Source organism: Homo sapiens, chromosome 1 (assembly GCF_000001405.40).
Source record: "Homo sapiens chromosome 1, GRCh38.p14 Primary Assembly".
Classification (NCBI taxonomy): Eukaryota; Metazoa; Chordata; class Mammalia; order Primates; family Hominidae; genus Homo; species Homo sapiens.
In genome coordinates this window covers 145,919,013-145,931,620 of record NC_000001.11, presented here as the reverse complement: position 1 = coordinate 145,931,620, position 12,608 = coordinate 145,919,013, and the positions used below count along the sequence as shown (strand labels likewise).

The window sequence follows — 12,608 nt, the reverse complement described above, 5'->3', positions numbered from 1 at the left end:
CAAGCGATTCTCCTGCCTCAGCCTTCTGAGTAGCTGGGATTATAGGCGCCCGCCACCACGCCCAGCTAATTTTTGTATTTTTAGTAAAGATGGAGTTTCACCATGTTGGCCAGGCTGGTCTCGAACTCCTGACCTCAGGTGATCCACCTGCCTGGGCCTCCCAAAGTGCTGGGATTACAGGCGTAAGCCACCATGCCCCGCCGATCTATTATTAGAATTATTATCTACACTGTTACCTAAGCCACACACCTCAGATCCACCCTCAACTCCTCTACCATAATGTAAATATGTTGTTTTTGAGACAGAGTTTTGCTCTTGTTGCCCAGGCTGGAGTACAATGGTGCAGTATCAGCTCACTGCATCCACTGCCTCTTGGGTTCAGGAGATTCTCCTGCCTCAGCCTCCCAAGTAGCTGGGATTACAGGCACCCACTACCACACGTGGCAAATTTTTTTATTTTTAATAGAGATGGGGTTTTACCATGTTGGCCAGGCTGGTCTCGAACTCCCGACCTCAGGTGATCCGCCCGCCTCAACCTCCCAAAGTGCTGGGATTACAGGTGTGAGCCACTGCGCCTGGCCTACCTCCTAATATGTTTTGTCCATATTTACTGCCTGAGCTTAGGTTTGGTCCTTTCTCATCTCCAGACTGGATCACTACAATAGCTTCCTAGCTGGTCTTCACCTCCATTCTTAACATCCTCCATACTACTGTCATATTTCTTTATAAAATACTTATGACTGTGACACTCCCTTGCTTAAGCCATCACTGAACTATCTTTACCTTTAGCAGCATTTCCCAAAGTTTTTTTTTATTTTTTTTGAGACAGGGTCTCACTCTAATGAGCAGGCCAGAATGCAGTGGCGTGATTTTGGCTCACTGCAGCCTCCACCTCCCAGGCTCAAGGAATCCTCCCACCTCAACCTCCAGAGTAGCTAGGTCTATAGGCACACACCACCACACCCAAGTAATTCTTTTTAAATTTTTTGTAGAGGTGGATCTTGCTGTGTTGCCCAGGCTGGTATTGAACTCCTGAACTCAAACTATCCACCTGCCTCGGCCTCCCAAAGTGCTGGGTTTACAAGCATGAGCTACCATGCCTGGCCTACCATTTCCCAGTTTTATATGTGTTCCTGAGATGATTTTAGATGATAGATGGGCAAACAGTTTTTAATAGTTGTGCTTTTATCTGAATTCGTAGTAGAAAAATACTGATTTTCCTTTCAGTGTAAATTTATGTTTAAAGTCAGTCTATTTAAGGAAAAATAATAAGCAACAACTAGTATGGAGGCTATTTTCAAATATTAAAAACCATGAATACTCAAATATTTGAAGTAGGTAAATTTCTTGCCTATAGGATAAATTCCAAAATCCTTAGCACAGCAGACCCTAAACTGTATTTCCAGCTTTATTTTCCAGTCACATAGCATCGGGCAGACAGAATTTCCTGCCATTCTAATATTCATTCATTCGATAAGTATCTACCAAATGTCTACCATGAGCCAGACATTGGGCTAAACTTCAGGGATTTTAGTTGTAAATAACTATCTCTGCTATAAGGATTACATTCTAACGGGAAAAACAGACAATAAACAAGTTAGAAAGTAAACAAGGTAATTAAAGATTCTGACTGGCCTAAGCAACATGGCAAGACTCCGTCTCTACAAAAGATTTTTTAAAAATTAGCCGTGTGCAGTGGCGTGTGCCTGTAGTCCCAGATATTCGGGAGGCTGAGGCAAGAGAATCACTTGGGCCTGGGAGGTTGGCTGCTGTGAGCCATAATTGCACCACTGCACTCAGCCTGGTTGACAGAGTGAGACCTTGTCTTAAAAAAAAAAAAAGAATGAAAGAAGATTCTGATTTAAGTTCTGTGAAGGAAATACACAGTTAAAGACAGGAGGGTAGAGAAGACCCCTTTGGGTGACAGTACTATTGAGATCTTAAAAATGAGGTCGAACTCGGCCGGGCGCGGTGGCTCACGCCTGTAATCCCAGCACTTTGGGAGGCCGAGGTGGGTGGATCACAAGGTACGGAGTTCAAGACTAGCCTGGCCAATATGCTGAAACCCCGTCTCTACTAAAAAAATTTTAAAAAGCTGGGCGTGGTGGCACGTGCCTGTAGTCCCAGCTACTCCGGAGGCTGAGGCAGAGGAATCGCTTGAACCCAGTAAGTGGAGGTTACAGTGGGCCGAGATCGTGCCACTGCACTCCAGCCTGGGTGACAGAGCGATACTCCATCTCAAAAAAAAAAAAAAAAAAAAAAAAATGAGGTCGAACCCAATATGTGAAAAGCTAGAGGAAGAGCACCAGGAACAGAAAGCTGCGGGGAGCAGTGGCTCATGCCTGTAATCCAAACACTTTGGGAGGCCGAGAAGGGCGGATGACCGGAAGTCAGGAGTTAGAAACCAGCCTGGCCAACATGGCGAAACCCCGTCTCCACTAAAAATACAAAAATTAGCTAGGTGTGGTGCCGCACGCCTGTAGTCCCAGCTAATCGGGAGGCTGGCGCAGGAGAAGCCTTGAACCCAGGAGACAGAGGTTGCAGTGAGCCAAGATCGCATCACTGCACTCCAGCCTGAGTGACAGAGTGAGACTCCGTCTCAAAAACAAAACAAACCAAGTTGCAAAAGCCCTGGGATGAGAAAGAGCACACCACAGTTGGGCGAAAGAGCAAGGAGAGCTTCATGGGTGAAGGAGAAGAACGGTGGTTGAACAGGTTGAAAACACAGGCAGAGCAGGCTTTGTGAGTTTGAATTTTTATTCTAAGTGCAGCAAAATGCCAAGGAAAGAGCCGGGTGCATGGTTACACCCCTGTCGTCCCAGATGCTTGGGAGGCGAGTTTCAGGCCAGCCTGGGTAGTATAACCAAACCCCTCTAACAAAAAGGGTTTTTAGGCCGGGCGCAGTGGCTCACGCCTGTAATCCCAGCACTTTGGGAGGTGGAGGCTGGTGGATCACTTGAGGTCAGGAGTTCAAGACCAGCCTGGCCAACATGGTGAAATCCCGTCTCTACTAAAAATACAAAAATTAGCCGGGTGTGTGTGTGTGTGTGGGGGGGGGCGCCTGTAGTCCCAGGTACTCAGGAGGCTTGGAGGGCGCCTGTAGTCCCAGGTACTCAGGAGGCTTGAGGCAGGAGAATTGCTTGAACCCGGGAGGCAGAGGATGCAGTGAGCCGAGACTGCACCACTGCACTCTTAGCCTGGGTGATAGAGCGAGACTACGTCTCAAAACAACAACAACAAGGATTTTTAGTAGGTATGTAACCAACTGATTTTTAAAATGATCACAGTACCTACTGTGGAGAATGAATTAGTGTCTCCTAATCGCTTTTTAAATTTTATTTTTCGTTTTACTCTTATTCACTTTTTTTTTTTTTTTTTGAGACAGAGTCTCGCTCTTGTCCCCCAGACTGGAGTGCAGTGGCAAGATCTCGGCTCGCTGCAACCTCCGTCTCCCGGGTTCAACTGATTCTCCTGCCTCAGCCTCCTAGGTAGCTGGGATTACAGGTGCACTCCACCACGCCCAGCTAATCAGCTTCCGTTTCTCGGGTTCAAGCGATTCTCCTGCCTCAGCCTCCCTAGTAGCTGGGATTACAGGCAGGGAGTTTTATATTTAAAAAAAAAATTGATATCTGTCTCACCAACCGTATTGCAACCAAGTCTGTTAGTTTCCTGAAGAGAAATTTGGTGCTGCAGGTTCCAGAAGCAGCTCTTTATGCCCTCACTGCTGATCAAACTATTTTTTAAAAACGCTCCTATCATACACCACGCTGCCTAAAGACAGGGTACAGGCCTGGGATTTTTGAAAGAAAAGGGTTTCTTCAATTACCATTTCCCAGTTTGGGATGAAGAGACGTAAAGAAGCCCTCTAATAAGGAAATTACGCCGGGCCTCACTGTTAATAGTACAGTATTTATCAGCAGCTGCCGCGGTTAAGAGGAAGCCACGGCCCCCTGTAGTCTGTACCTCCTAAGATGGATGATTTAGCTTGCGATCTGTTCAAGATGGCCACAGAAACACTTCCGGTATCTTTCCGCACTAGGCCCGCCCCAATTTGCGTGTTTTTACCGTGCAGAGGGAGGGATTTAGAGTTAGCCTTTGATTGGTCAGCTTGACTGGCGACCTTTCCCCTCTGCGACAGTTTCCCGAGGTACCTAGTGTCTGAGCGGCACAGACGAGATCTCGATCGAAGGCGAGATGGCGGACGTGCTAGATCTTCACGAGGCTGGGGGCGAAGATTTCGCCATGGATGAGGATGGGGACGGTGAGGACAGTGGAGACGGCTGGTGGGAAGCGGGGAAGGTGCGAGAGAAGGCTATAATAGGAAAATTTACTCTTTTTTCCTCGGTCGTAAGGATGGGAATCGAGGAACCGGGTCTTGGGTGGATTAGAGATTCCGCCCCCTTCAGGAGAAGGGAGGGCGTGACCGGGAAGGCACTAAGACTGGAGGCGGTGTGGGTCGGCTTGCTGGTAGTGTATTGGGAAAGAGACGATTGTTACAAATGACTGTCATAGTTACTTATTCTTTTATCTTCTGGGGTTCCAGAGAGCATTCACAAACTGAAAGAAAAAGCGAAGAAACGGAAGGGTCGCGGCTTTGGCTCCGGTGAGTGTGGGGAAAATGGGGTAGAGTGGCCTAGTAGGGCAGGAGCTACGGGTTTTGGAGTCCCCACCCACCTCATAGGAACAATGGGAGAAAGGAGGAGTTTTCGGTGATCTCGTGTATGTCCCTTATAGAAGAGGGGTCCCGAGCGCGGATGCGTGAGGATTATGACAGCGTGGAGCAGGATGGCGATGAACCCGGACCACAACGCTGTGAGTAATAATGGAACCTGTGAGGTATCCGTGTCTGTGGTAGTAGTTAGAAACCAATAAAATAGTTAAACGCAGTAGGAATGGGTTCAGAGATAGCTTAAACAATCTGAGTCCGCACTCACTCTATTCCTGTGAGCCTGCTTAAAGTGTCTCTCATGTACTCATACAACTTCCCCCCGTCCCCCAACAGCTGTTGAAGGCTGGATTCTCTTTGTAACTGGAGTCCATGAGGAAGCCACCGAAGAAGACATACACGACAAATTCGCAGAATATGGGGAAATTAAAAACATTCATCTCAACCTCGACAGGCGAACAGGATATCTGAAGGTATCCTAAGTGACACTTTATTGCCTCCTTTCTTTCATAAGCCTTAGGTAGCATTCGTAGTTCTGTGTTTGCTGTGGTTGGCCAAGAGCAAAGTTGAAATAAAATGACATTGGAAATCTATGTTTTGTCAGACACGCCAAAGAGACAGAAACGGAGATGATGTATATATACAGTAGAGATATATGATGTACATTCATTGTTTAAAGTGTGTAGATTTTTCTGAGTTTAGATTTGAGGAAAAAGATACTCAGTGATACTTGGGGAAATAGGAGGGTTTTCATATCTGTCTTTTCACTTTCCCCAGGGGTATACTCTAGTTGAATATGAAACATACAAGGAAGCCCAGGCTGCTATGGAGGGACTCAATGGCCAGGATTTGATGGGACAGCCCATCAGCGTTGACTGGTGTTTTGTTCGGGGTCCACCAAAAGGCAAGAGGAGGTAAAATGAAGAGGGCAAATACTGTCTGGGTGAAGGGAATACGAACGAAACAGAATGAGGACTTAGTATTATGTCCCTCTAATGGACTCCTCTCCCTGCTTCTTTTTCCCTAGAGGTGGCCGAAGACGCAGCAGAAGTCCAGACCGGAGACGTCGCTGACAGGTCCTCTGTTGTCCAGGTGTTCTCTTCAAGATTCCATTTGACCATGCAGCCTTGGACAAATAGGACTGGGGTGGAACTTGCTGTGTTTATATTTAATCTCTTACCGTATATGCGTAGTATTTGAGTTGCGAATAAATGTTCCATTTTTGTTTTCTACATTTAATGTTACTTTCCTGTCCTAAAATTGAAAGTTCTAAAGCATAGCAAGGCTGTATGGATCATTGTGAAGATACTTCTAGGGACTGAACTCTATGTATTTCTTTTTTTTCTTTTTTTTGAGATAGAGTCTTGCTGTGTTACCCAGGGTGGATTGCAGCTGATCATAGCTCACTGCAGCTTCAAACTCTTGGGCTCAAGCCATCCTTCTGCCTCACTGTCCCTAGTAGTTGGGATTACAGGCACATGCCACCATGCCCAGCTAAATTTTTAATATTTTTGTAGAGATGGGGTCTTGCTGTGTTACCTGGGCTAGTTATGTGAGTTTCTATATTAGACATAGTCTCAAGTTTCAGGTAGGGTTTAAAGTAGAGACACTGGTCAGTATTTCTTTTTTGGGGGGAACTAGGAGAGCAGGAGTAGAAGTGAGATGTTAAGATCTTATGGCACTAAAGACTTACTATTCTGTTCCTACATACTCTGTTAGGATCAGATAGATGTTATAGAAATGCCTTTTGTTTCTCCTGCCCTTCTTGATGTCACAGTTTTTTGTACTTCCAGCTGTCTAAAGGCATGAATCTCCTCTTGGAGCATTCTCCCAGACCCTTCTTTAGAAGAGTCTATACTAAGTTCTTGGTGCCCTCTTCGGCAGCCAAGGGTGAAGGCCCCATAGAGGAGAGGATCCAAAGGAGCATTGAGGAGGCCCAAGAGGAAAAGGATGTGGCTCAGGCTGGGAGGGACTTCAGTTAGCATGGTGGGGGAGAACCAGTACCACATACCCAGTAGGTAATAAGGTGTCCAGCAGAGGATGAAGGTCAGCAAGATAAGCAGGGCCAGTCTCAGGGCCCGGAGACGAACACGGGGACAATTGTCAAAGGAGCGGGGGAGGGCAAATTCACCAGCAGGGGCTAGGAATTTAGAAAATATACTGTAATTCAGACACTCAGCTTCTGATCTGAGTATAGGGTGAATTGATGGAGGGGCATAGCTAGTGAGACAGAGCTCGCCTCCTACAAGGAGGAGAATGTTGCAAACCGTTTTCCCCTTCCCAACCTGGGACTATATGATTTCTTACCCCCAGGGATTATGATAGAAATATGAAGCCACCAAGTCTAGACTTGATGGTGTTCAAGAATAAATAATACTGATTGCCTCCCTAGTCCTTGTCCAGCTAACTCAGCTGTTTATAATTGAAGGGATTCAACAAAATTATCTCTAGCATCAGGTGCTAGACATGGTTAGAATCTCACCATGGTTTAGTGACTGGTAGATAGCTATTAGGTAGGTAGATAAATAAATGATGCTAGAGGCAACAGGTCTAGGGTTAAGGATTAAGGCCTGGGAATTGGAGTCTCACCATGGCTCCCCTTCCTTGTCTGGGGCCTGGACACACTGAGGACAATGCGGCTATAGCAGATGGCCATGGCAGTCAGTGGCAGCAGAAAGAGGCAGCAGAAGGTGAAGAGGTTATAGGTGGTCTCTTGCCATTGAGCCTTGAAGCTGCCTTTGGTGACACACTGAGTGAAAGGGACTGGGCCAGCTCAGTGGACCGTGTGGAACAGGAACAGCTGGAGTGGAGTTGAGGACTATTAGAACTGGTTCCCCTCACCACCCAACCTACCCACCTATGTCATACTGTCTCCTCCCAATTCATCCTTAATTCCAAGTGAAGCAGCACAGTGCTGAGAAACAGTTCATCCATGGTGCCATGTTAAAGAAGTTGGAAATATATCTTGAAAATCCTATCTTCCTTTTAGGCTTGAATATGATGCTGAACAGTAAGTTTGTTAAATCTTGGAACTTAAAACAATCCTGCTTTCTCAAGTACTATTCTAACATTGCGCTTTATAAGGGATGATATTTCTACCACCTCACTCATATTTTTAGCTGAAATGATTTTCCTGGTATGTCTGTTATTTTGTGGAAAAAGAAATATTGTGTAAAATGGGTGCTGCCAAAATTCCAGGCCATTTTGCAGGGACTCTGAAGTGACCTTTAGTAGTAATAGTCTTATGTGCAGTAACTATAATGGTAAAGAATGTTAAATAATAAAATTTAACATTTTCCAAATGCTATTGGGCTGCCCCTCCCCCTTTTTGTTAAATTGCTGGGTTTTCCAACTGAATCAGTAAAAACTATTTCTGTTTAGAGCTACAAGGTTAAAGTGCCTGCTTTCCAGTAATGGAGATTGAGTCACTATTAATTTGATAAAAGGTAAGCTCAGTAGGCATCAGATTCCTAGATACAAGGCATTTGGGAAAGTGATTTTAGCAGACATGAGGGACATTTAGGAAAGATGAATAGTTTCAGCCTAAGAGAATTTTGTGAACTGTTTGGAGTTACGATCAGGCTACTCTGAGCTAGTTGGGAAATGGTCTTTCCTCTTCCCATCTCTTGCATTCATATATTTCTAAGTTTTTTTTTTTGTTTTTGTTTTTGTGCTCTGCCTAAGAAGTGCTTGAGAATTGTGAGGAGTATAAAAATAGTCAAAGCTGGCTGGGCGCGGTGGCTCACGCCTGTAATCCCAGCACTTTGGGAGGCTGAGGCGGGCGGATCACGAGGTTAGGAGATGGAGACCATCCTGGCTAACACAGTGAAACCCTGTCTGTACTAAAGATACAAAAAACTAGCCGGGCGTGGTGGTAGGTGCCTGTAGTCCCAGCTACTTGGGAACTCGGGAGGCTGAGGCAGGAGAATGACCTGAACCCAGGAGGCGGAGCTTGCAGTGAGCAGAGATTGCGCCATTGCACTCCAGCCTGGGCGACAGAGTAAGACTGTCTCCAAAAAAAAAAAAAATAATAATCAAAGCTCTTGGATTTATAGTTTGGTCCACAGCCTTGTTTTGATCTTTCCTTTATCCTGTTTTATTGCCATTTACCACGTACTGTAGAAACATCCCTTTCAACTGCTGATAACTTGGAAACAAGCCTACAAAAATAAGTAATTTCTAACTACTCCTAATACTACCTATAACTACCCCTAAGCCCTTACCACTCTAACGTGACATTATTAAATTTTTTATTTTATTAACACTAATATTTTAACTACAATTACAGCATATGGGCAATACAGAATTTACCTAAAAGGATACTAATTTGGAACAAAAAAAATCACCTTTCGCACATGTATCATGTCACAACCAGTTTGCCATTGAAACAAATAGAGGTTGCAAATATTGTCAGATTGTCAGGCTGTAAGAAAGGATGAAATTCATTTCCCATTGCATCATCTTGTGGCCCATGGATTTCAAGTGCCTTAGCCAAAATCATATAGCTAGTTAGCAGTAGAGCCGAGACTCAGAAAAAAACAAAGTAAAACAGGCAGACTGAAACAAAAAGTCTTCTAATTCCCAGTCCACATGTAAAATTTGCTTCATATAAACAAACCTAATTGTAAATGGCACTGTAGCAACAGGCTTCTTTTTAACACTTGGATTGGTAAAGGTCTTGTTTGCAACATATTAGAAGTATTATTTTTCTCTTTCCCCCCCACCCCACCCCCAACAGAGTCTGGCTCTGCCGCCCACGCCGGAGTGCAGTGGTGCAGTCTTGGCTCACTGCAGCCTCCACTTCCCAGGTTCAAGCAATTCTCGTGCCTCAGCCTCCTGAGTAGTTGGGATTACAGGTGCTCACCACTATACCCGGCTAATTTTTGTATTTTTAGTAGAGATGGGGTTTCGTCATGTTGGCCAGGTTGGTCTTAAACTCCTGACCTCAAGTGATCCACCCACCTTGGCCTTCCAAAATGCTGGGATTACAGGCTTGAGCCACCAGGCCTTTCTTTGTTCTTAGGAGTATAGTCAGACTAACTTCTAGTAGTTATATTTCTAATAATTGAGGATGTAAGTAAGGATCAAATCTTAAATCAGTATAATGCATTGTCATTCCAGAGATAAATCCTAGACCCTTCTTGGCCTCCTTCTGACATAATTCTAATCCTACAGTCTCAGAGATGCTGTTGTATCCTGCCCCCCAACCCCATGATAGTGATAGTGGTTTTTGCCTTGAAGGAATTGCTTTGTATTTAGCTTTTCCCCCTCTAGATTTCTAGTTCCTTTTCAGTATTGGATTGGATTTGAGATTTGATTAACCTAGTACTCAGGTTCAGATGCTCGCCTCTTTGCAATTTTAACACTCATTCGACAATAAAGTCAGTAAAAAACACAAATTTGGTTATGTCACTCTCTTTTTACTTTAGTGTCTCTCCACTGCACTCAGAATAAAGTACAATTTTATTATTTGTGATCTGGCTTGCTCTTCCCCTCTCAGTTCATTACTCACCATTTTCTAGTCCTCAGCTTTAGTAGCATTGAGATCCTCTATCCTCCATCCTCCCTAGCATTTCTCCTATTTTAATTGGTCTAACACCTATCTCTGAAGAATCAAATTTTAACATCTGGAAAGCTTTTCCTGACTGCACGGCTGTGTCAGACACCCCTATCCACTCCCCACCCCCATTGTCTTCTTTAGCTCCTTTAGCATAACACTTTTGAATACACTATATTGTAATTGCCTAATTTCTTTGTTTCTTGCAGTAGTCTATACATTTCTTGAAGGCAGGATTTTGCTGCCCTGTCCTTAGCAAAATTTGAGTGGCGCTGGAGATGCATATTACTTTTTGAATGGATAAATGAAATGTACCACAAAGTTTTACCCAAACCACTGACTTCACTCTCTTAATAGATCCCCATGTATGTTTTTCTTCCCTGCCCCAATCTGAAGGAGGTGAGATTGGGAGGATGCAAAGAGGTAGAAACCACGTGTAATAAAACAGATGTAATGGAAGAGGCACAGATAGAGGATACTGTTTTTACAAGGCAGGCTCTTTTATTATTATTATTATTATTATACTTTAAGTTTTAGGGTACATGTGCACAATGTGCAGGTTAGTTACATATGTATACATGTGCCATGCTGGTGTGCTGCACCCATTAACTCGTCATTTAGCATTAGGTATATCTCCTAATGCTATCCCTCCCCCCTCCCCCCACCCCCCAACAGTCCCCAGAGTGTGATGTTCCCCTTCCTGTGTCCATGTGTTCTCATTGTTCAATTCCCATCTATGAGTGAGAACATGCGGTGTTTGGTTTTTTGTCCTTGCAATAGTTTACTGAGAATGATGATTTCCAATTTCATCCATGTCCCTACAAAGGACATGAACTCATCATTTTTTACGGCTGCATAGTATTCCATGGTGTATATGTGCCACATTTTCTTAATCCAGTCTATCATTATTAGACATTTGGGTTGGTTCCAAGTCTTTGCTGTTGTGAATAGTGCCGCAATAAACATGTGTGCATGTGTCTTTATAGCAGCATGATTTATAGTCCTTTGGGTATATACCCAGTAATGGGATGGCTGGGTCAAATGGTATTTCTAGTTCTAGATCCCTGAGGAATCGAAAAGGCAGGCTCTTAACAGATGTAAATTAACATACAAATAATCTTACAGAAGAGAGAGCAGAGGTAGCAGGGTGCGGTGGCTCACGCCTGTAATCTCAGCACTTTGGGAGGCTGAGACAGGTGGATCATGAGGTCAAGAGATGGAGACCACCTGGCCAACATGGTGAAACCTCGCCTCTACTAAAAATACAAAAATTAGCCGGGCATGGTAGCGGGCGCCTGTAGCTTCTCGGGAGGCTGAGGGAGGAGAATTGCTTGAACCCGGGAGGCGGAGGTTGCAGTGAGCCGGCAAAAAAAAAAAAAAGCAAGCAGAGGCTTACTCCCTGAGAATTAATGGCTAATGGCCCCCAAGCGCACCCTTTAACTCATGCTATGGACCCAAATCCCTGTCCTGCCCGGTCCTGAGTCCTAGGTCACTCACCTGGGGGAAGGCAAGCAGGAAACTAAGTCCCCAGGCTGCCCCCAGAAGTTTCCTTACACCTGAACGGGATCCAAGCGGGTTGAGTACTGCTGCCTGGCGGTCCAATCCAATGACCACAGGCAGGAAAGCTGCAGAATACGTGGCCATTAGTTTCAGGAACATCAGTGTCCGACATGCGATGTCCACAGCCAGCCATTGAACAGTGATATTCCAGGTGGCATCTAGGGGCATAACCACAAAAGTGACTAGTAAGTCGGCGGCTGCTAAATGGATGAAGAGTCTCCTGACCGGAGAGGGGCGGAGCTGGCTGGGTTCCCGCCGTGTCACTGACCACAGGACTGCCAGGTTCCCTCCAGCCGAAGAAACAAACAGCACAATGGTCACTCCCACTCGGACCTTGGCTGCTGCCGAGAAGGTGGGCAGCTCTGAGCCCTCCACCTCCACTCCTGATCCAGCCCAGACCTCCTCCCCCGCTGCTGACCCCAAGGGGTGCCGTTGCCTGCAGACATGGTGGCCTGGAGAGAAACTGAGGAGGATGAAGTGTGGGTATGAAGCGGTTAGCTTTGGCCACTGATTCTTCGCCCTCCTTTTCAGGATCTGGAGCTGATTATTGCGAATTTCGTTCACTAAAGCCTCTGCTTCTGGAGACTCTCCATCTGTTCTGGAGGAGGTCACTTGTTCAACTGTCAAGGTTCTGCAGGGAACGAAGATCTGGTACCAATCACGCTCCTTTTTCCTTGGACAGACCAGCCTGGGCTTCAGGCCTCTACTGACCTAGACCTCTTTAGCCCCTACAGCCCTGGATTCAGTCGGGGCCTGCGTGCATGTGTATTTGTGAGGTTCTGCCAGGCGCACACCTATGCCGGCGGCCTCCAAGACGTGGAGATC

The 12,608-nt window shown here is 45.5% G+C and overlaps 1 protein-coding gene, 1 long non-coding RNA gene and 1 pseudogene across 5 annotated transcripts in view, besides 7 other annotated features; 1 reads left to right on the top strand and 2 right to left on the bottom strand.

Annotated features, from left to right (window-relative positions):
* Positions 1-4,790, bottom strand: part of LIX1L-AS1 (LIX1L antisense RNA 1) — a 14,373-nt gene extending 9,583 nt beyond the window's left edge. Inside the window, exons 1-2 of the long non-coding RNA NR_147182.1 lie at positions 4,675-4,790; positions 4,152-4,557 (exon numbers count right to left, since the gene is read on the bottom strand). This is a non-coding gene — a long non-coding RNA (LIX1L antisense RNA 1). The remainder of the gene's footprint in view (positions 1-4,151; positions 4,558-4,674) is intronic.
* Positions 3,881-4,030: an enhancer, noted in NCBI's record as "active region_1619". NCBI's record gives its function as "activates an Ori minimal core promoter by ATAC-STARR-seq in GM12878 lymphoblastoid cells {active_cell/tissue: GM12878}" and the evidence as "EXISTENCE:reporter gene assay evidence [ECO:0000049][PMID:35858748]".
* Positions 3,881-5,201: a biological region, named in NCBI's record as "MED14-independent group 3 enhancer GRCh37_chr1:145507474-145508673".
* Positions 4,002-5,201: an enhancer, noted in NCBI's record as "MED14-independent group 3 enhancer chr1:145507474-145508673 (GRCh37/hg19 assembly coordinates)". NCBI's record gives its function as "activates an origin of replication core promoter dependent on BRD2, BRD4, P300/CBP and CDK7 cofactors, and independent of MED14, by STARR-seq in HCT116 cells {active_cell/tissue: HCT116}" and the evidence as "EXISTENCE:reporter gene assay evidence [ECO:0000049][PMID:35650434]".
* Positions 4,123-5,062: an enhancer, noted in NCBI's record as "H3K27ac hESC enhancer chr1:145507595-145508534 (GRCh37/hg19 assembly coordinates)". NCBI's record gives its function as "activates a minimal SCP1, AML or CMV promoter by ChIP-STARR-seq in naive H9 embryonic stem cells {active_cell/tissue: H9 hESC(naive)}" and the evidence as "EXISTENCE:reporter gene assay evidence [ECO:0000049][PMID:30033119]".
* RBM8A (RNA binding motif protein 8A) lies at positions 4,137-10,065 on the top strand. The gene is made up of 6 exons (NM_005105.5): positions 4,137-4,261; positions 4,544-4,603; positions 4,735-4,812; positions 5,003-5,139; positions 5,444-5,580; positions 5,694-10,065. Exons 1-6 carry the CDS (start codon positions 4,195-4,197, stop codon positions 5,737-5,739), a joined length of 525 nt encoding a protein of 174 aa, NP_005096.1. The 5' UTR covers positions 4,137-4,194; the 3' UTR covers positions 5,740-10,065.
* Positions 4,271-4,320: an enhancer, noted in NCBI's record as "active region_1618". NCBI's record gives its function as "activates an Ori minimal core promoter by ATAC-STARR-seq in GM12878 lymphoblastoid cells {active_cell/tissue: GM12878}" and the evidence as "EXISTENCE:reporter gene assay evidence [ECO:0000049][PMID:35858748]".
* Positions 6,280-12,608, bottom strand: GNRHR2 (gonadotropin releasing hormone receptor 2 (pseudogene); annotated as a pseudogene). 3 transcript variants are annotated; one of them, NR_104033.1, is made up of 4 exons: positions 12,202-12,277; positions 11,721-11,941; positions 7,256-7,466; positions 6,280-6,806 (listed from the first exon to the last, which is right to left on the bottom strand). The product of NR_104033.1 is annotated as a gonadotropin releasing hormone receptor 2 (pseudogene), transcript variant 2 (transcript). The 3 variants fall into 3 exon arrangements; NR_002328.4 differs by having other exon boundaries at positions 11,721-12,608; NR_104034.1 differs by lacking the exons at positions 6,280-6,806; positions 7,256-7,466 and adding an exon at positions 10,953-11,287 and having other exon boundaries at positions 12,202-12,431.
* Positions 12,169-12,268: an enhancer, noted in NCBI's record as "active region_1617". NCBI's record gives its function as "activates an Ori minimal core promoter by ATAC-STARR-seq in GM12878 lymphoblastoid cells {active_cell/tissue: GM12878}" and the evidence as "EXISTENCE:reporter gene assay evidence [ECO:0000049][PMID:35858748]".
* Positions 12,319-12,378: an enhancer, noted in NCBI's record as "active region_1616". NCBI's record gives its function as "activates an Ori minimal core promoter by ATAC-STARR-seq in GM12878 lymphoblastoid cells {active_cell/tissue: GM12878}" and the evidence as "EXISTENCE:reporter gene assay evidence [ECO:0000049][PMID:35858748]".